At 40.6% G+C, this 20,376-nt stretch overlaps 1 protein-coding gene across 16 annotated transcripts in view, besides 4 other annotated features; it reads left to right on the top strand.

The window, feature by feature from the left end:
• IKZF3 (IKAROS family zinc finger 3) overlaps positions 1-20,376 on the top strand; it is a 106,598-nt gene that overhangs the window by 62,564 nt on the left and 23,658 nt on the right. For 5 of the 16 annotated variants that reach the window (XM_047435625.1, NM_001257408.2, NM_183230.3 and 2 more), the window contains 3 exons: positions 8,816-9,076; positions 10,166-10,333; positions 13,375-13,491. The exons of 2 other annotated variants lie outside the window; for them this stretch is intronic. In XM_047435625.1, the coding sequence (XP_047291581.1) occupies positions 8,816-9,076; positions 10,166-10,333; positions 13,375-13,491 (546 nt within the window). The remainder of the gene's footprint in view (positions 1-8,815; positions 9,077-10,165; positions 10,334-13,374; positions 13,492-20,376) is intronic. 9 more of the 16 variants (NM_001257409.2, NM_183232.3, NM_183229.3 and 6 more) reach the window with 5 other exon arrangements.
• Positions 787-987: a silencer, noted in NCBI's record as "peak2840 fragment used in MPRA reporter construct". NCBI's record gives its function as "represses an SCP1 promoter by STARR-seq MPRAs in K562 erythroleukemia cells {active_cell/tissue: K562}" and the evidence as "EXISTENCE:reporter gene assay evidence [ECO:0000049][PMID:32103011]".
• Positions 8,769-8,898: an enhancer, noted in NCBI's record as "active region_12110". NCBI's record gives its function as "activates an Ori minimal core promoter by ATAC-STARR-seq in GM12878 lymphoblastoid cells {active_cell/tissue: GM12878}" and the evidence as "EXISTENCE:reporter gene assay evidence [ECO:0000049][PMID:35858748]".
• Positions 9,996-10,105: an enhancer, noted in NCBI's record as "active region_12109". NCBI's record gives its function as "activates an Ori minimal core promoter by ATAC-STARR-seq in GM12878 lymphoblastoid cells {active_cell/tissue: GM12878}" and the evidence as "EXISTENCE:reporter gene assay evidence [ECO:0000049][PMID:35858748]".
• Positions 16,893-17,123: a silencer, noted in NCBI's record as "fragment chr17:37940879-37941109 (GRCh37/hg19 assembly coordinates)". NCBI's record gives its function as "represses an EF-1alpha promoter that drives an FKBP-Casp9 reporter gene in an ReSE screen in K562 erythroleukemia cells {active_cell/tissue: K562}" and the evidence as "EXISTENCE:reporter gene assay evidence [ECO:0000049][PMID:32094911]".

Raw genomic sequence — 20,376 nt, 5'->3', positions numbered from 1 at the left:
TTAAAACTTTCCTTACTCTTTAGTTCTAAAAATATCATCGGTTTCTCTCTCTCATTACTTTACATGCAAAAATGTAAATTAGAAAATGAAAATGACCCATCGTTTCAGTGTTCTTCTTCCTAATACAAAGAGGTCATTGTGGGAGAGAAGTATAGACATTAATTTTATAAGGAAAACTGTTCTAGTTCATCTGTTTGTGCTAGATTGGGCGACAGTAACAAACTTTGTAGACTGAATACCTACAATACATATATTTCCCATTTTGCTCTTTAGTGCTTCAAGCTTCTAAATCCTATTAACAGCTGTCAAAACCTGGTAAACTATTTAGATGCTTTCACAATTTGTTTAATTGGATAGTTAGAAAATGGCGTGCTAGAAAAGCCCCCCCCCACCCCCTTTCTTTTAGCCTGGCTGAACATCTGTAGCATTAGGGCCTCATTATCTCTGAATTGGCATAGCAAATCAGTGGCATCATTAAAATGCCACATTAAGATGATTAAGCTTCTTTGTTATCCAGTTGACTTTTGCATTTGCTGAAGATTTCATGGTTATGACCCCCGATCCTTGTAAAACACTTAAATAACATCACCCTTTTGTGCCTTCCCTAACAGCCTCTATCTTGTTTTGTCCCTTCTCACAATATCTCCGGCAGACCTGAGGATATTACTTCCAACTTTGTCCTTCGTAGAGTTGGATTCTGAGATCTCATAGTTTAAGGTGGAAATTCAGAATCTCTTTTTTCCACTGGGAAATTCCTAGTATCAACATGCTCTCCAAGATACCCAAGTTGTCTATTCTGTTTGCCATCTTTGATAGGTTCTTCTCTCCAACTGAGCATTTTATGTGCCTGTAAAAACAAACTGAGGCACAGTTGGCTGAGACTGCTATTGCCCCTGAAGGATTTAGATGTTGGATCCTTTCCAGGACCCATTGTTTTTGCAGTGTCTCAGGTGAAACCAAAAATGTCTGCTCTGGAGTACAAGCCTTTCATGTGATAACCATCACCCCAGGAAATGAAACCATGTGCATCAGCCCCAGTGAGCCAAACCTTTGTTCTCTTCAGCCTACAAAATTCTCTCTGGGGTGTGTGTGTGTGTTCGTGTGTGTCATCTTCCTAAGAGGCCTGAAAACATAGACAAAGATGGGAGCAATTGTACCCTAGAGTAGCTCCTTTAGAAAGTTTAGTTTAATCTAATTTCCTATGGGTTAGATTCAATTTAGACATCTTTTCCCTGCCTCTGGGAATGTATAGCAATTACCTTTATCAGCAATTTGTGGTTTGGTATATTCTTTTCTCCACAAGTTCAGTTATAAAAAAGGTATTCAGGAAGCCTTTAACTTTTTTTATTATAAAATAGATCATATGTACAAAAAGGCAAGTATAATTACATGTATAGATTAAAGAATAATAAGAAAACATCCATACACCCACCACCTGACTTAAGAAATAAACTTTCACCAGTGTCTATGAGGCTTCTTGATAGTCTTCTAAGTGTCAACTTAAGATGTATGTCTAAGAAACCTGATATATATTATAAGAAGATTAGAATTTACAAAACCAAAACATGAGATTATTCATACTATAAAAGGTTTATTCACTTTACAAAAGACTTCAGGATACTATCAGGCAGTTCCCCAAATATATTCAAGTATTTGTTGCCAGGTCTTTAAGATTTTCTGCCTTTATTAAATGAACGGGTGTTGCCAGTCACTGACAACTGAAATCAGGGCAAAATAAACATTTCTGAATGTAGAATGTTAATCAGCGGGACAGTGTTATTGGTTTTGCATGAAACATTTTATGAACACATCAACTACATAAAAGCGGATCTGTAGCAATGTAATTATATCATACTAAATATAAAGCAGAATAAGACGGATGTATGAGAACAAAGAAACATAATTTTTTTTCTAGTTAAGGGTATCAAGGAAGACTTCATGGAAGAAGTGGCATTTAAACTGCATGTGGAAGTTTGAATACACTATTGAAATGGTAGAAGGATATTTTAGGTGTGGGAAAGGCTGGAGAAGAGGCTTGAAGAACTGTGATTAGTCATGTTGCTGCTGTGCTTCTCAGACTTTAATGTGCATAAGAATCCTTGAGGATCTTGTTAAAATGCAAATTCTGGTCCAGTAGGTCTAGGTTGAGGCCTGAGCACCTGTATTTCTAACAAGCTCCCAGGCGGTTGCAGAACTGCTTATCCAAGGACCTCACTTTGCATAGTAAAGTTCTAGTATAGAGAGAAAGGTGATTCAAGAAGACTGAGAAATGAGATGATTAAGTAGTCCTGGGGCAAGTTCTGGACAGGTGCTTGAATACCTCATTAAGGAGTTTGGACTTTATTCTATAAGCAAATGAAATCATTGAAAGTTTTAAATAAGAGTTTCTTTGCTACAGCATGATTATTCTGGCAATAGGATGCAGTATAACAGAGGTCACATGTACCGTGGGCCAGTTAGGAGGCTAATGCAATGATATATTCATACACCAGGAATTTATGGGATGTCTACTTTATGTAGGGCACTGCATCTAACTCGAGGCAGTGGCTCTCAAACTCCATTGTGCATAAGGTTTATCTGGAGAGCATGGTTTTAAATGAACATTTCCAGTCTCCACCCCCAGATTAGTAGATCTATGGTAGGAGCCCCAAATTTTCTATTTTAAAACCACATAACCTCTGGTCTTACAGATACAGGTTAAGCAGTGTCATAGGGAATACTGAGTTAAACACACACACACACACACACACACGCACACACACACACAATCTGTATAGCTTCTGCCCTCAGCTAGTTTACATATTTATTGGGGAGACTAGGGGAGGTGAGTTCATAAGTAACCCAGGAAGAAGGAGCAGGCTATTTTCCAGCTGGGTTGATCAGAGAAGGCATAGTAGCCAGGAGACAGCATATTAGTTTGACCTTTAAAAATGTGTAGGACAGTGGCCAGGCGCAGTGGCTCATGCCTGTAATCCCAGCACTTTGGGAGGCCGAGGCCGGCGGATCACGAGGTCAGGAGATTGAGACCATCCTGGCTAACACAGTGAAACCCTGTCTCTACTAAAAATACAAAAAATTAGCTGGGTATGGTGGTGGGCGCCTGTAGTCCCAGCTACTCAGGAGGCTGAGCCAAGAGAATGGCATGAACCCGGGAGGCAGAAGTTGCAGTGAGCAGAGATCGCACCACTGCACTCCAGCCTGAGAGACAGAGAAAGACTCCGTCTCAAAAAAAAAAAAAAAATACGTAGGATGTGTAGGACTTGGACCTGTGGCCATATTGGGGAAAGATCTTTTAGGCAGTAGAAATAAGACTACTTAGAAGCTCTTTAGTTAAAGATCTAACTAGTCAAAATTAATATGCCAAAGATAGGTTGGGGCCAGATCCCGAAAGGCCTTTTAAATTATTTGTTTCTGAGTTTGGACTTTATTTTGTTGGCAGTGGAAAATATTGAAGAATTTTGACAGGGCTATGACATGACCAGAGGTAGAATTTAGGAAGAGCAATCTTGTAGCAACAAACAAGACGGGCTGGAAAGGAGAAAGAAGGGAGCCAAAGAGAACAGTGCGGGGGCTACAGCAATAAGTAGATCGTGGGAAAGTCATAGGGTCTGAGAATTAGGTAATGGGCATGCAAAATACAGGAGTGGAGAAACAGATTAGAGATTGGATACACAGATAGAACCACTGAATGATTGAATGTGGGGCCCAATCAGGAGAAAGGAAAGATGACTCTAAGGATTCTAGCCTGAGTAACTGGGAAGATACCTAGGAAGCCTTCAGAAATAGAGGACTAAAGAAAGGGAGAGAGGTTACACCTGGAGTTATATATATGGAAATTAATCATATAAGATGTTAGTCGAAGCCTTAAGAATGAATGAAATTGCCATACAAGAGGGGTGTAGAGGGAAGAAAAAAGAAGGTTAAGGACAGTATTTAGGATGCAGAGGGAAGAAAAGGGGCAAGAAGGAAGCAATCAGAAAGGCAAGGAAAGAAGGTACATTTTCATTGAAGAAATAGGAGTGCAGGGGCCGGGCACGGTGGCTCATGCCTGTAATCCCAACACTTTGGGAGGCCAAGACAGGTGGATCACCTGAAGTCAGGAGTTCGAGACCAGCCTGGCCAACATGGTAAAACCCTGTCTCTACTAAAAATACAGAAATTAGCCAGGTGTGGTGGCACGTGCCTATAGTCCCAGCTACTCGGGAGGCTGAGGCAGGAGAATCGCTTGGACCTGGGAAGCAGAGGTTGCAGTGAGCCGAGATCGCACCACTGTACTCTAGCCTGGGCAACAGAGTGAGACTCTGTCTCAAAAAAAAAAAAAAAGAAAGAAAGAAAAGACATAGGAGTGCAGAAGAACAAGGAATGGTGAGTGGTCAGTAGTGTTGAGGATTACAAAGAAGTTGGAGAGAGTGGCATACAAAAAGGCTCTGAATCTAGGAATCAGGAGATTATGGTTGGTGATATTCAAGGGAGCAGATTAAGTGAATTGTGGAGGCGGAAGCCATATTACAGAGAATTCTGAGTCCTTTTTGAGGCTGTAGAGGCAGTAAGCATAGCTTACCTATGTCTTTTTTTTTTTTTCTTGAGACGGAGTCTCACTTTGTCACCCAAGCTGGAGTGCAGTGGTGGGATCTCAGCTCACTGCAACCTCCACTTCCCAGGTTCAAGCGATTCTCCTGCCTCAGCCTCTTGAGTAGCTGGGACTATAGGCGCACACCACCACGCCTGGCTAATTTTTTTGTATTTTTAGTAGAGATGGGGTTTCACCATGTTAGTCAGGATGGTCTCGATCTCCTGACCTCATGATCCACCCGCCTCGGCCTCCCAAAGTGCTGGAATTACAGGTGTGAGCCACCGCTCCTGGACCACCTGTGTCTTAAATCTGTCTAGAAAGGAATGTTGAGGCCGAGCGCAGTGGCTCACTCCTGTAATCCCAGCAGTTTGGGAGGCCGAGGTGGGTGGATCACGAGGTCAGGAGTTCAAGACCAGCCTGGCCAAGATGGTGAAACCCCGTCTCTACTAAAAAAAAAAAATTAAAAAAATAGCCAGGTGTGGTGGTGGGCACCTGTAATCCCAGCTACTCAGGAGGCTGAGGCAGGAGAATCGCTTGAACCAGGGAGGCAGAGGTTGCAGTGAGCCGAGATCACACCACTGCTCTCCAGCCTGGGCAACAGAGTGAGACTCTGACTCAAAAAAAAAAAAAAAAGAAAGGAATGTTGAGAGAGGATGAATTTAGGTATGATGTGATGAAAGGTGAAACCAAATTGCAAAAGGAAAGGAAAAGAGGAGTTGGCACCTAGAGAGCCTGAAGACATAGAGTTGATAGATCTTGGAGACTGACTTGATGTAGAAATTGAAAGAGAAAAGGTTCCACAGTTTGATGGCTTGGAGACTGGAAGAAGGGTGATGCCATTTGTCAACATAAATAAGTCATAAATTAGAAGCAAGTTTGGGTTCAAAGATGACAAGTTTGATTTTAGACATGTTCATTAGTATTTTCTAATAGAATTTTTCTAAGTAGAACACCCCTTTTCTCTGCTTCAATAAGTCTTCCAGGGAATGGGATGAATCTCTTCATTAGAGCAGGCTAATGCCTTTCCTGGTTTTGGTGGACTGTGTTTGGAGGCTGAGTACTAAGCCTAATATCTCTCAGGAATCTCATTCATACCTTAAATTCTAATTTATTTTATTTTATTTTATCTTTTTTGAGATGGCGTCTCGCTCTGTCGCCCAGGCTGGAGTGCAGTGGTACGATCTCGGGTCACTGCAACCTCCACCTCCCAGGTTGAAGCGATTATCCTGCCTCAGCCTCCCCAGTAGCTGGGAGCCACCATGCCCAGCTAATTTTCTATATTTTTAGTGGAGACGGGGTTTTGCTATGTTGACCAGGCTGGTCTCAAACTCCTGACCTCAAGTGATCCACCTGCCTTGGCCTCCCAAAGTGCTGAGATTACAGGCATGAGCCACTATGCCCAGCCAGCAATTTATTATGGCTTACCTTGAGAAGGTAACAGAGTTGAATATTAGAATAAATTAGAATCTGGTTGGACACGGTGGCTCAGGCCTGTAATCCCAGCACTTTGGGAGGCCAAGGAGGGTGGATCACTTGAGGTCAGGAGTTCGAGACCAGCCTGGCCAACATGGCGAAACCCCGTCTTTACTAAAAACACAAAAATCAGCCAGGCATTGTGGTGCATGCCTGTAATCCCAGCTACTCGGGAGGCTGAGGCAGGAGAATCACTTGAACCTGGGAAGCAGAGGTGGCAGTGAGCTGATCGTGCCACTACACTCCAGGCTGGGCAACAGAGCAAGACTATGTCTCAAAAAATAAAATAGAATAAAATAAAAATAAGTTGCTAATCCCCAGTAACCATGCAGAGAGGTCATCCAGGTCATTCATCTAAAACTGGTAAGACTCCAAAGGCAAACCAGCAACTATGTAAGCCCAAAGGACTTCTCTAATGCCCTGTCCCTGTGTCCTTATGTCCCTGGGTCTCAAATACTGTCTTCCTTGCTCTATAGCTGACTCCTAAAGGACTAAAGCTAAGATCTGCTCTTGAGCCAGGATGGTGTCGTATTGAATTCCAGGTCAGGCCAACTAAAGCCAAAATCCTGAGGGAAAGGAGCAGCTCTCTTATGTCCTCTGTTTTCAGAAAGACTCAACACATTGATCTTACTACATTTTAAAGTTCAGTGACCATGGAGTGGCCTGAGTCTGGTCATGTTCACATTTTCTAACCAAAATGGAAAGGATCCTTTTCTGCTGGCCTTTTCTATCTGCTGTTTTTGGTTTTAAGTAGCTGAAATTTTCCGTTGAGGTTCTTTTAAACGCCTACATGCAAACTGAAGAGCACTCAAGCTTTGGTGGGATATTACCCACAGCTGGAGTGATGGAGGAAGGGAGGCAAGTACAAGCCTCAGGTGCATCCTTCTCTTAAAAAAATAAAAAATAAACACTTAAGCAAACAAATTCCACTTGAAAGCAGGGAAGACCTATCCAGAGAAAGAAGTAAACCTCTTTCCAAGTAGGAAACAGATATCATTTCTTATATAATCCAGATCCATAGGGTGGGCAAATTTGAAACATGTTGGACTTATCCTACAGCCCTACATCTTTGCTAGTCAAAGAGTGAAAAGTTGTGAACCATGAACTGTGGTAGGAAGCAGTGGAACTGTGTGGCAGCCCTGGCTCCTCTGATGGTGGTTAGGCCCTGTCTTGCTCTATTAAGCAAACACAGTTAATATAGATGAAAGGTAACCTTGATAGAAGTGAAAATTGAAACTTGGGTTGAAGGTAGCAAGCCAGGCACAGCTGCAGTTGTACTTCCTCCTATGCAGCAAGAGGAGCAACACTTACTGATGTTTTTTGGAAGGGATGTAGTTTTTTAAAATATCTTTTTTCAGACTGTTTTGGGTTTTAACATTTACACCATTGATGGGAGGGTGTGTAATACAGTTGGTAAGAACCCACTTAGGCCTTATATGTCTAGTGCATGAGGTCAAATCCAAGTAATTGATAGTTCAAGCTTAAGTTTTGCATTCTAATCACACCTCTGCCAGTAACTGGATGTGTAACCTTCGACAAATGACCAAAAACATCTCTGCTCCCAGATTTCCTCATCTGAGAAACAAGAGGGTTGGATTAGATGACCTTTAAATTCCCTTCCAGCCCTACACTCCATTGATTTGTGATTCCTCATGGGGAGGTACAACTTTTGATTTCTAAGGACCAATGGTTGAAAAAGTAAGCATTTATATAGCATATTTTATATATGCAAAATCCCTTACAAATGTTTATTATTCTTACATCAGGCAAATTTTTAGGTTTTACTAGTGTCAGTGCAAGTACATAAATTTGCCTTCTTTGTTTCTTATGTTCTTCATATTTTTCCCACGTTCTTCATATGTTCTTATGCTCTTCATGAAGAGTATTACAGCTCTTCTTTTAAATTTCATTCATTTACATTGCAGTTCTTAAGATAGTACTTGGTCAGCCAACTCACTTGAGCCAGTCCCTCCTCTCCTATCCAGTCCTATTACACAATCCTTGAGTCCTTGAGTTTAGTTCTCCCTAACTTGGGACCTAATGGTCCTTCCCCTTATTTAGATTGAGCCCCACTTACCTGTGTCGATGAAAGTGACTCCTTAGGTTATATGAAAGAATTACTTTTCCTTTTGTCTTTCTCAACACTTTTTCATTAGTACTGACAACTTCCTCTACAGTCAATGTTGTGCCTTTATCAGCTCCAAGAGAGACAGAGATAAGATGTGTTTTAGCAATTCATATACGTGGAAGGGGAAGAGGCAATGCATGGCTTAAAATTAGAAAAACTATGTTAACTAGTCAACTCTTAATCTTAATGGCTTACACTGGATGCATCTGAAGGATTCAAACAATATTTTCTCCTTGAAACCTAAGAGTACATCACCTTGCCTTTTTAACTGCAGCCACCAAAAACAGTACTAGATCTGAGAACCCTTCCTCTCCCCTAGTACTGGAGAAGAGTTGCTCAATGTTTGTTTCATGGCCACTTTGAGCAAACTTAGCTAAAATCTATTATCTGTAATTTTCTGGATAGCCTAAAACACTATCGTCTATTTTTATGTGTGTAAGTATGTGTGTTTTCCTCTGACTGTGGTTCTGAATTTAAATAACGTGCGGTCACGCTAATGGTGCTTTCTTGTTTTGTAGATGTACAGTGTTTTGTTAGCTTCGATTGGTATTTAATTGTCAGTTGTGGGTCTCTGCTGTTTGAGCTGCTTTGATAGCTTCAAGTATAGTCGTTGTTCATTTCTTGCATTTTCTTCCCTGCAGATGATTCAATGAAAGTGAAAGATGAATACAGTGAAAGAGATGAGAATGTTTTAAAGTCAGAACCCATGGGAAATGCAGAAGAGCCTGAAATCCCTTACAGCTATTCAAGAGAATATAATGAATATGAAAACATTAAGTTGGAGAGACATGTTGTCTCATTCGATAGTAGCAGGCCAACCAGTGGAAAGATGAACTGCGATGTGTGTGGATTATCCTGCATCAGCTTCAATGTCTTAATGGTTCATAAGCGAAGCCATACTGGTAAATAGTCTGCTTTTTTCATTCTTCTGAAAACTCTCCTAATGCAGCCACGTGAGAAATGAAGTGGTGGAATTTGGAACTTTTGGTTACTTTCATTGATTTTTGCTATAATGCTGATGTATCTCTCTCTCTGCATTGCTGTTCACTCAGTGCTTTTTATTCCTGCCTCACCATGCATTTGGCAAACATATTGCAAATGCTATGAATAAAAAAAGACTGTAGAGAGCACAGTGTTCTAGGTCAGCCAAATACTTTTTCTTCAGTTTCTAAGTAGGAGTTGAATTGTGTGATTTGCTTCTTAGCCATCTTTTGTATATTTTTGCATAACATTTTTAATAAGAGCAGATCTTCTTATTGTATTGGGTTCAAATTTGGTAAATGAAAGGACATAGTTTTTATTTCCAGCTTAAAATAATGTATCTTCAGACAATAAACAGGTAGTCTATAGAAATGCATACAAACACAACCATCGCACTTGAGCCAGTCGATTCCATCCCATATCTCATATGAAGACTTTAAAAAGGAGAATTTCTAGCCCTCAACACCTTGTAAGGACTTTAGTTTCTGGCTCTTTTTTCAAAGGAGATTATATTCAAAAGGAATACTAAAAAATTAGCCAGGCATAATGGCAAACACTGGTAGTCCCAGCTATTCTGAAGGCTGAGGTGACAGGCTCACTTGAACCCAGGAGGTCAAGGTTTCAGTGAGCCATGATGGGACCATTGCACTCCAGCCTGAGCAACAGAGCAAGAAGACCCTGTCTAAAAAAAAAAAAAAAAAAAAAAGGGAGTACCAAGTAATATAGTAATATAAAAACTTAGATCTAGAAAGCACTTCTAGAGCTGCTCTTGTTTCTTTGCTCTGATTCAATATGATACCTAAAATAGCCTTGCTAGTGGGTGCTTTTTCTCTTCTACAGAGGAGATTTCATAAGTAAGTCTTAGGCTTGCCTTGAAATGCAGCTCCCAACTGATCCCAATGTGAACAGTAATTGTCTAAAAGATGAGCTTTTCCCCTAGGCATCTAATCTGTGCATATGTTTCTCCACTTGCCTGTGACCAGAAATCTCCTTTTTTGTCCTTTTTAAAGGTGAACGCCCATTCCAGTGTAATCAGTGTGGGGCATCTTTTACTCAGAAAGGTAACCTCCTCCGCCACATTAAACTGCACACAGGGGAAAAACCTTTTAAGTGTCACCTCTGCAACTATGCATGCCAAAGAAGAGATGCGCTCACGGGGCATCTTAGGACACATTCTGGTAAGTGAGAGAAATGAGCATTCCTTGTCTAGGAAGTGCATTCCTCAGAGCCCAGTGTGGAAACTAGAAAGAGTTAAGTAGGAAGGTTTCAATCTGTCATTCTTGTTCTGAAGGGTTACAACAGCAGAGACCTCTAGGGCTAATTACACGACCATTAAGGCACTAATTGCTCTCCGTCTGCCTCAGTGGAGATGATCATCTCCTCACCATCCTTGCACCCATGGAGAACAACACAGTCAGATAGGAAGAGCCCACCCTATAAAAAATGTCCTTTTAATTTTTGTGAGAAAATTATAGCCATCAGTATTTTCTTCTGGTAAACTTTATTAGAAGATTATTTTCCCAACACACACACTCTTTCCATTCAAAAGACGAGACAAGCAAATGATGTACAGTTTGTAAATTATGAAAAACTGTGATCTGGATATAAATCATTGTTTGGGGGCTACTTTTTGGCCATTTGGGATAAATTTATTAAATCCAACTTTCCTCTTGATTGGCCCACTTTTTTTTTTTTTTTTAAATAAACATGAGGTCTCACTATGTTGCTCAGGCTGGTCTCAAACTTCTGAGCTCAGGCATTCCTCCCACTTTGACCTCCCAAAGTGCTGGGATTACAGGCAGGAGCCACCATGCCCAGCCAGCCTACTTATTTTAAATCTCTAAAAGATTGAACAACGGTAAAGATTTGTAAAAGTTATGTGCTGTCGTGATGTTTTTACTCCTTATTTTGACCAAGATAATACTTTTTTTTCAAGATTTAGAATTTCCGTCCTAGAAAAATAAGACTGAGTTTATTTTCAAATTTGGGACCTCATGTTCTTGATGTTATCTGGCAAAATTTTAATTGGAAAAAAAGGCTTGTTTTTATGTCAGTTCACATCTACTGCTTTGATTAAAACCTAGCCCCAAACTCAAAACTTGTTATAATTCAGCCACTAGGATTAAACAAGTCAGCCCCAACAAAACCCACCATGAGAGATCATAATTGGCAATTGAAGGGTTTCTCTCTTTTACAGCTCATTTTTCAAAGTAGTGAATTAAGGATGAGTTTGGTTCGAAAAAAATTAGAATAGTTCTCTACTGTTGCCTTTTTCAAGTAAGAAACAATAGTAGGCTTTTTAAAGACAGATTCCAGAGAACCCAATTTATGCAGAAACGTAACATTTTTAGCCCTAGCAAACCTGCATTTGTTTTAATTTAGGATTCCATAAGGATCTTTTAGTGCTTTAAATCCCAAAGCCTCTGTTTTAAACAGAGCAAGAGTTAGAAAATAAAAATTTTAGCCCCTAAAACTGACAAATTCATTGAGTATATTCTATCAACAATCAGAAAGACCAGCCTTGCACAGATAGTTGAAGTTATTACTTACATATTTCAAGCAATAAAGCATTTGGGGAGTTGGCAGAATAAAGTTTGCATGAATTGTATGGGTGAAACCTTTCCTTCATCTTAGACATTTAGACGAAGTCATTTTTACAATTCATTTTTATTTCTCTCTTTTTTTTTTTTTTTTTGAGACGGAGTCTTGCTCTGTTGCCTAGGCTGTTGCAGTGGCGTGATCTTGGCTCACTGCAACCTCCGCCTCCCAGGTTCAAGCGATTCTCCTGCCTCAGCCTCCCTAGTAGCTGGGATTATAGATGCCTACCACAACGCCCAGCTAATTTTGTTTGTTTGTTTGTTTGTTTGAGATGGTGTCTCACTCTGTCACCCAGGCTGGAGTACAGCGGCGCCATCTCAGCTCACTGCAACCTCTACCTCCCAGGTTCAAGCGATTCTCCTGCCTCAGCCTCCCTAGTAGCTGGGATTATAGATGCCTACCACGACGCCCGGCTAATTTTGTTTGTTTGTTTGAGATGGAGTCTCACTCTGCCGCCCAGGCTGGGATGCAGTGGTGCAATCTCAGCCCACTGCAACCTCCACCTCCCAGGTTCAAGCGATTCTTCTGCCTCAGCCTCCTGAGTAGCTGGGACTAAAGGGTCACGCCATCACGCCTGGCTAATTTTTGTATTTTTAGTAGAGATGGGGTTTCACCACATTGGCCAGGCTGGTCTCGAACTCCTCACCTCGTGATCCGCCTGCCTCGGCCTCCGAAAGTGCTGAGATTACAGGCGTGAGCCACTGTGCCTGGCTAATTTTTGTATTTTTAGTAGAGATGGGGTTTTGCCATGTTAGGCAGGCTGGTCTCGAACTCCTGACCTCAGGTGATCCTCCCACTTCGGCCTCCCAAAGTGCTGGGATTACAGGTGTCAGCCACTGCGCCCGGCCTATTTTTATTTCTATTATTCAAAAATATCCTGGCCGGGTGCAATGGCTCACACCTGTAAGCCTCTCACTTTGGGAGGCCAAGGTGGCCTTTGGGAGGCCCAGACTTCACCTGAGCCTATGAAATTGGGGCTGTAGCGAGCTGTGATTTCACCACTGCACCCAAGCCTGGGTGATAGAGTGAGACCCTGTCTCAAAAACAAAAAAACAAAAAAATCCGTAGTTAATTAGCTCAGTTTTTATTGTTTTAGCCTAGACTTTGCTATAGCCACGTGGCAAGGATGAGCTAAATTTACCCAAATATGTCAATGTTCTGAAAAGGCCATCAGTTTCTAGCCGAATGGCTAACTCCCACAAACTACAGCAATCTTTACTTACAGCCAGATGGATGTCCAAAATAAAGAATCCTTTCCTATTTCATTGCTTATACCACATTAACCTCCTTGAAGAATAAAAGGGCCCTATTTTCTTTTTCCCAAAGAAAACAAAATTTGACCTGGAGCCAAAACAGTATGCGAAATGGTAATCACTAAATCCAAATTCTTCCATTTGTGATAGGAGGCGATCCTTTTGAAGAATACTCTGACGTAATAATTAATCATAGACCATAACCTTATTTAAGCTTACCAAATTTAAAATATAGATTCAAAAGTATCCAAATACTCTGGCTTCACTCAGCAGTCTCATTTCTAGTGAACAGTTGTCACAGAGCCCCAATACCTGACCTGTGTGGAACCCCTGAGGGTCACTGAGTGCCCCTTATGTTCTCCTTCTAGTGGAGAAACCCTACAAATGTGAGTTTTGTGGAAGGAGTTACAAGCAGAGAAGTTCCCTTGAGGAGCACAAGGAGCGCTGCCGTACATTTCTTCAGAGCACTGACCCAGGGGACACTGGTGAGTTCACGCAACACACGTTTAGTGAGCATCTGCTGTCCTAGGTGGTGAGATACAATAGTAAGTAAAAAGACTCGTGGAGTTTATATTTTACTGGGGGCAGACAGATTATAAAGAAAGTAAATGAGCAAACTGTAAGTTGGAAGGTTAGCGGGTGGTAAGTGCTATTGAGAAAAATGAAGCAGTTGCTGAGGAGTGAGGGTGAGAATCAGGGAAGGCTTCAACGAGGTAACATTTTAACAGACTTCTTAACAGGGTGAGTAAGCCCTGCAGATAACTAGGGAACAGCAAGAGCAAAGGCCCTGGGGCACAAATTTGAAGAAGTGTACGTAGTTCTGTGTGTCTGGAACACAGTGAGTAATGGGACCTGAAGCCAGAGAGGAAATGGGAAACCAGATCTTCTCAGGCCTTGCAGGCCATTGTAAAGGCTTTGGCTTTTACTCTGAGTGAAATTAAAAATCTTTAGAGGGTTTTGTACAAAGAGGTGACATCATTGGTCTTCTCATTTGAAAGAATCACTCTACTTGCTTTTGAGAAGAGATTGTATTTGGGGCAAGGTTGGAAATTGGGGGTCCAGTTAGGAGGCCATTGCAATAATTCAAGCAAGAGAAAATTATGTCTTGTTAGTGGTAGAGGTGGTGAGAAGTATTCTAATTCTCTGTATATTTAAAGGTAGAGTCAACAAGATTTCCTAACAGATTGATGAAGAGTGGAGTTGTCGTTTACAAAAAATGGCAAAAATTGAGGGTAGAGGAGGTTGGGGAGTGGCTAGGGAAGAGGCAATTAAAACTACAAGGATTTTCTTTGCACAGGGCCCAATTTATATCCTTGTCTACTCATATGATTTATTGTGATGCTTCTATTTGGCTTTGGGGATTCCTTGTTTTATTCAGTGATTTGAATTAGATGCCTACTGGCAATTGGTTGAAACACTAGATGTTCTTCTATATCTCAATTGTGGTTTTATTTCCTTTTAATTCTTTGTTGGAACAGCCTGAAACTTTTTTGTGTCACATCTCTTCAGCTGTCCTTTGTCCCATTGAGTTGGCTGTCAGCCTGGTTCTGCAGCTTGGGTTGTCTGACATTTTTATTTGGTAACTTGAACCAATTGCTTATTTAGAATAGGTACAAACCCTCATGGGATTTAGTGTTTGACAGCAATTGTTGCAGTTGAGTAGTTTGAATAGGCTAAAACAGAAAAGTTACAAAAAGATGACAGAAATAATGTGAAACTCAGGAAAAATGGAGTAGAAATGACTACCTAAACTGCCCTCATTTTGAGTGAGAGGAAACTTTTATTTTAGATAAAACCTATTGCATGATGTTAGGAGCTGGCCAACTGAATTCTGATGGCTTGCAGTGCTTCTGCTTTTTATCCTAATGGCATCTTTGGTTTTATCAAGGAGTTGGATTTCTAATTTGATAAAGGAAATCCAACTTATTTGGATAAAGCTTATCCAAATAAAAAGAAATGTTTACCCCCTTATAAAAAACAAACAGGTCATACACAGTGGTACACACCTGTAGTCCTAGCTGCTGAGGAGGCTGAGGCAAGAGGATTGCTTGAGCCCAGGAGCTCAAGCCCAACCTGGGCAACAAAGCAAGACACCATCTCTAAAACAATAATAATAAAATAAAAAGAAAAACCTAATATTTGGGTTTTGACATCTTCTCTTTGTTTTGCTTTTATCTGAGTCTGCTTGCTAGGAAAGATTTTGACATCTTAAGTGGCATGCTTCATGGCAGTCAGGCAGTACTCGCTCAAGGACGGAATGTAGGCATCTCTACTTGCAGTTCTGTATTTCAGACAATAGGCAAAGCTCTCACTGTAAGAGATTCCCAAGCTATGAAATCTATCATATTCCAAGTAGAATCACTAATATTTAAAGCTAGAATGAAAGAGAGCATCTGACCCTACTTCTTCATTTTAGAGGTGACAAGACTGAGACTCGCCCAAAATTCAGTGACCTACTTAAAATTCACCAGAACTTTAGTTGTTTTTGTGATTAGTCATATTTTTTAATTTTCAAAAACTTGAGATATAACTCACATGCTATAAAATTTACCTTTTTAAAGTGCACATTTCAATAATTTTAGTATATTCACAAAGTTGTACAACCATCACCACTATCTTATTTCAGAACATTATCACCATCCGCAAAAGCAGTGCTGTGCTCATTAGCAGTCACTCCCTATTCCCCCTTCCTCTAGCTCCTGGCAGCCACCAATCTACTTTCTGTCTCTATGGATTTGCCTGTTCTGGACATTTCACATAAATGGAATCATACAATATGTGGCCTTTTGTGTCGGCTCCTTTTACTTAGCATAATGTTTCTGAGGCATTTATGTATGCTGAAGCATTTATCAGGACTTCATTCCTTTTTGTGGCTGAATAATATTCCATTGTTTGGATATGGCACTTTCCATTTATCCATTCATCAGCTAATGGACATTTGAGTCTTTTACACCTTTTCCACTTTTTGGCTTGATTAGCTATATTTCTTAAAGGTTATATATTATCTGGTTTGCAAAAGAAATATAGTAACACACATACTAATAGACACACATGTATATACATATATGTGTGTCCTGATTCTCCTGGAAGGAGGGGGAAAAATCAGAAAACTACACTCTATAAACAGTAAGTTCAAAATTATTGATTTTGAAGTAAGGTCACCACCTTACTTCCCATTCTCACAACCTTTTTTAGGAATTTCAAATAAGGAAAAGTATCAAAAGTAATATTTTAGCTATTCTCAGTGATATTAGGTGATTCAGGAAATGCTGAAATACAGAGGTTGAGTTAATTTGCATTTCATAGGGTGGTTTGGTGGATGCGTGCACCATACTTTAAGTCTCAGCAAAAAAAGATAAAGGGTTAACTAAGTCAGCAAGTTTTGATTTTTTTTTCAAACAAATATGTTGTAATGGTGGTTTCAGGTTATAAATGTGTAAATTCACAGCTTAATCAAGTTACTGCATCTCAGTTCACACATTACTCTTTTATATTTCAAATAGTTCCTATAATTTTTCCTGAGGCCAAAATTTACAGAATATTTAACCCAACATAAGCCAATCCTTTAACTATTTTGCACCCTTCCATGTGTGGTTTCCATTTCTGTTTCCTTCTTAGAATTGGGAGTCCATTGTGGACATGGGGTTCTATTCTGAGCCTGAGCAGTATAGTACATCTTATGCCTCATCCGTCACTTGTAAAGAGATGATGCTCCATTGCTGTTGTGCCTGCAGCACTCATTCTTCAAGTGCTTATTGTAAGTTGAAGTGCAGCGTAGTGTGAGAGCCAAGCCTGTGGACAAACCTGCCTGCAAGGGGAAGCAGGACTTTCTAGAAGCAAGCAGATGGATAAAAAGGCCTTGGAGTGAAGACCAGCCTGCAAAAAAATGCAGGTATTGGGCAACAGGACTTCTGGCCTTGCTAATCATTTCTTTTATCCAGATAGCATTTGTTGAGTTCTCTATGTGCCAGGCTCTGTATCAAAGCTGTTTGTAAAGATGAGTTAAGGTTAAGCCCCTACACTTTAAGGATTTACAATCCTGGCCGGGCGCGGTGGGTCGCGCCTGTAATCCTGACACTTTGGGAGGCCGAGGCGGGCGGATCACAAGGTCAAGAGATGGAGACCATCTTGGCCAACATGTTGAAACCCCGTCTCTACTAAAAATACAAAAATTAGCTAGGTGTGGTGGTGCTCACCTGTAGTCCCAGCTACTCAGGAGGCTGAGGCAGGAGAATTGCTTGAATCCAGGAGGTGGAGGTTGCAGTGAGCTGAGATCATGCCGCTGTACTCTAGCCTGGCAACAGAGCAAGACTCCATCTCAAAAAAAAAAAAAGACACTAGTGATATTGCTACTTTAGTCCAAGTTTCTACATCAGGCATCACAAGTGACACCATCAGAATATTCCAATTCTGTCTTAATGGAGTATATATGAAAAGAAGGAAAAATACAGAAGAACATGGACTGCATTTTCCCATTAGCTTGATTCTTATTTCAGAAAGAGACTAACAGCCGGTATAGAGATTCATTTAGCCTCATTCACACAGATTATGAATACTTGGAGCAGGAAATATTTTATGTAACAATGAGTTCTAGCAATAATAATATTTTTAAATAATTGAATAATCACATCTATTTATGAATCTAAGACTCCAAACTTTTCATCTTCAATAGTTCTTCAAGCTAATACAAGCATGAGGGCTTCAGAATAAACTTACATTTTTACCAACTTAGCAGACCAAAGAAAATGTTTAAAAATTTTTAAGTTTGTTTTCCCAACCTATTTTTTTTTGTTTTGTTTTTTGTTTTTTGTTTTGAGACAGAGTCTCACTCTGTCACCCAGGCTGGAGTGCAGTGGCACGATCTCAGCTCACCGCAACCTCCGCCTTCTGGGTTCAAGCAATTCTCCTGCCTCAGCCTACTGAGTAGCTGGGATTACAGGTGCCTGCCACCATGCCCAGCTAATTTTTGTGTTTTTAGTAGAGACGGGGTTTCACCATGTTGGCCAGGCATCTCAAACTCCTGATCTCAGGTAATCTGCCCACCTTGGCCTCCCAAATTATTGTGATTATGGGCGTAAGCCACCACACTTGGCCCCAACCTATTCTTTTTAAAAATCAATACTGGCCGGGCGCGGTGGCTCACGCCTGTAATCCCAGCACTTTAGGATGCTGAGGTGGGCGGATCGCGAGGTCAGGAGTTCCAGAACAGCCTGGCCAACATAGTGAAACCCCATCTCTACTAAAAATACAAAAATTAGCCAGGCACGATAGCATGCACTGATAGTCCCAGCTACTCAGGAGGCTGAGGCAGGAGAATTGCTTGAACCCGGGAGGCAGAGGTTGTGGTGAGCCAAGATCATGCCACTGCACTCCAGCCTAGGCAACAGAGCGAGACTCCATCTCAAAAAATAAAAAATGCTATCTCACAGGTAGTATTCATTTTACTTGTTCAAAAAGGCAACAGTTTTATGAAACTTTTTTGTTAGAACCTGCCTCTGTCTTTGATACCAATCTCTTGTTAGACAATTTCTATTGCATAATAACACCACTTTGTTCCACTCTCCATTAGTTACTGACTGACTACACCATAGAAGAGACAGGAAGCAATACCTCTTATTTAAGCTCCACTTAACACTTCAAGATCTAATGAAGGATTTTGAACAAAAACAAAAGCACAACACAATTACATAGTTAAACCTCCAATGACTTTGAGGTAGAAATTGTATCATGGAAATAGTTAACTAAAACCAAATATTAAGACTTATACAGGGAATAAAGGTAGTAGTAACCTAATCTGTAAATGTGACTTTGTACTACATTTTATTATTTTTTCAGCACGTCTTTAAAATAACTTTTCTAATGAAAATTAGTATGTCTACTATTTAGTAGGCAAGCAATGTGAAGGGAAATTGATCCACAATGACAGTTCTACTCATTCTGTTCTCACTCATGAGCTGAATGTGCAAATTGTTCCTTGCCACCATCCCATATTCCCCACACCCACCACTTGCAGCATTACACCGCCAAACACCACCCAGGAACGGATTTCCTATTTCGTCATTTAAACCCATTATCTTGTTCCCTTACTATCTTGCCAAACTGGTTTCCCTCCACTTACATTTCTGAGATATGAAGTGGCAAGATAACAAGTCTAGACTGTTCGTATAAATAGACAGTTGGGTCCTAAAGTTGGAGAAAAGGACCAAAAGCCAATAGTCCTCTTTTTTTTCTTTTCAGTGCACTGCCTAAACCACTCAGTAATCCCAAAGAGCTTGTCCAGTTACAAAGCATTTCTTTGTGTATGTGTGATATGTGTGTGTGTGTGTGTGTTGTTGTTGTTGTTGTTGTTTAGAGACAGGGCTCACTGTGTTCCTCACACTGGAGTACAGTGGCAAGATCATAGCTCCCTGGGCTCAAGCAATCCTCCCACCTCAGCCTCCCAAAGTGCTGGATTACAGGCGCAAACCATGGAACCTGGCTCTTTGTGTTTCAAAGGGCACTCATTTCATGGTATTGTGCATCAGCTATCCAACAAGTGTGAGGCAAAAGACTAGCAGTTTAGGAAAGAAAATGAGTGCCATCTTCAATTGAAAACTAGCCTTTGCCTAACTTATCAACTAGAAAACAAGGTTAATTCAGTGAAGATCAACTGAATCAGTAGGAGTGTGTTCACATGTACAATGAGAGTGGAGCTCTTGTAGTTAATATTTTGAGTGAATGACCCAGAAAGAGGGTGTGGGTGAACAGGAGTCCTCTAGATTCGTTTCAGAGGATTTCTTTCAATCTAATCGGAGTTGTGGAAATGGGAAAGTCTCCACCCATGCCTCAAAATATGTCCATCCATGAACACTGCAGAATTTTATGTTTTTAAATGTCAGGCATTTGGTCACTGATTTACAGAATAATGTTTATCTGGAAATGACTCTAAAGACCAGTTTGGTGGGTAACGAGGAATAAAAGGTGATGTTATCTCAAAAGTTTGCCATTTAGTGACCTGCCCTAATTACAGTTATTTAGGTCAATGTGTCCACACTTCAGCATCCTCCCAAATGTAGAGGATGTTGATTACGTGTCCTCAGAAAGCTGCTTGTTTTAATTGACATTGACTTCAGTAAAATGTAGACAGCGACTGCTGAGAAACAAATGGGAAAACTAGATGGGTAGCACCGTGCTTGGGGTAATTCCTGGGTAATGATTTGGCAGTGAGAGGAGGGACCACAATAGACTAATAAGAACAATGGTAAAATGGGCATAAAAGGTAAACATTCCCAGAATACTGTTTTTCATTCTTTTTTTCCCTATAAATCTTTTTGTTGATAACTACAGGGTTGAGGGGAGGCTTACTTGGATTTAATCTTCTCAAAATTGCT

The sequence above is a fragment of the Homo sapiens genome, chromosome 17 (genome assembly GCF_000001405.40).
Source record: "Homo sapiens chromosome 17, GRCh38.p14 Primary Assembly".
Taxonomy (NCBI): domain Eukaryota; kingdom Metazoa; phylum Chordata; class Mammalia; order Primates; family Hominidae; genus Homo; species Homo sapiens.
This window is presented reverse-complemented; position numbering and strand designations above follow the sequence as displayed.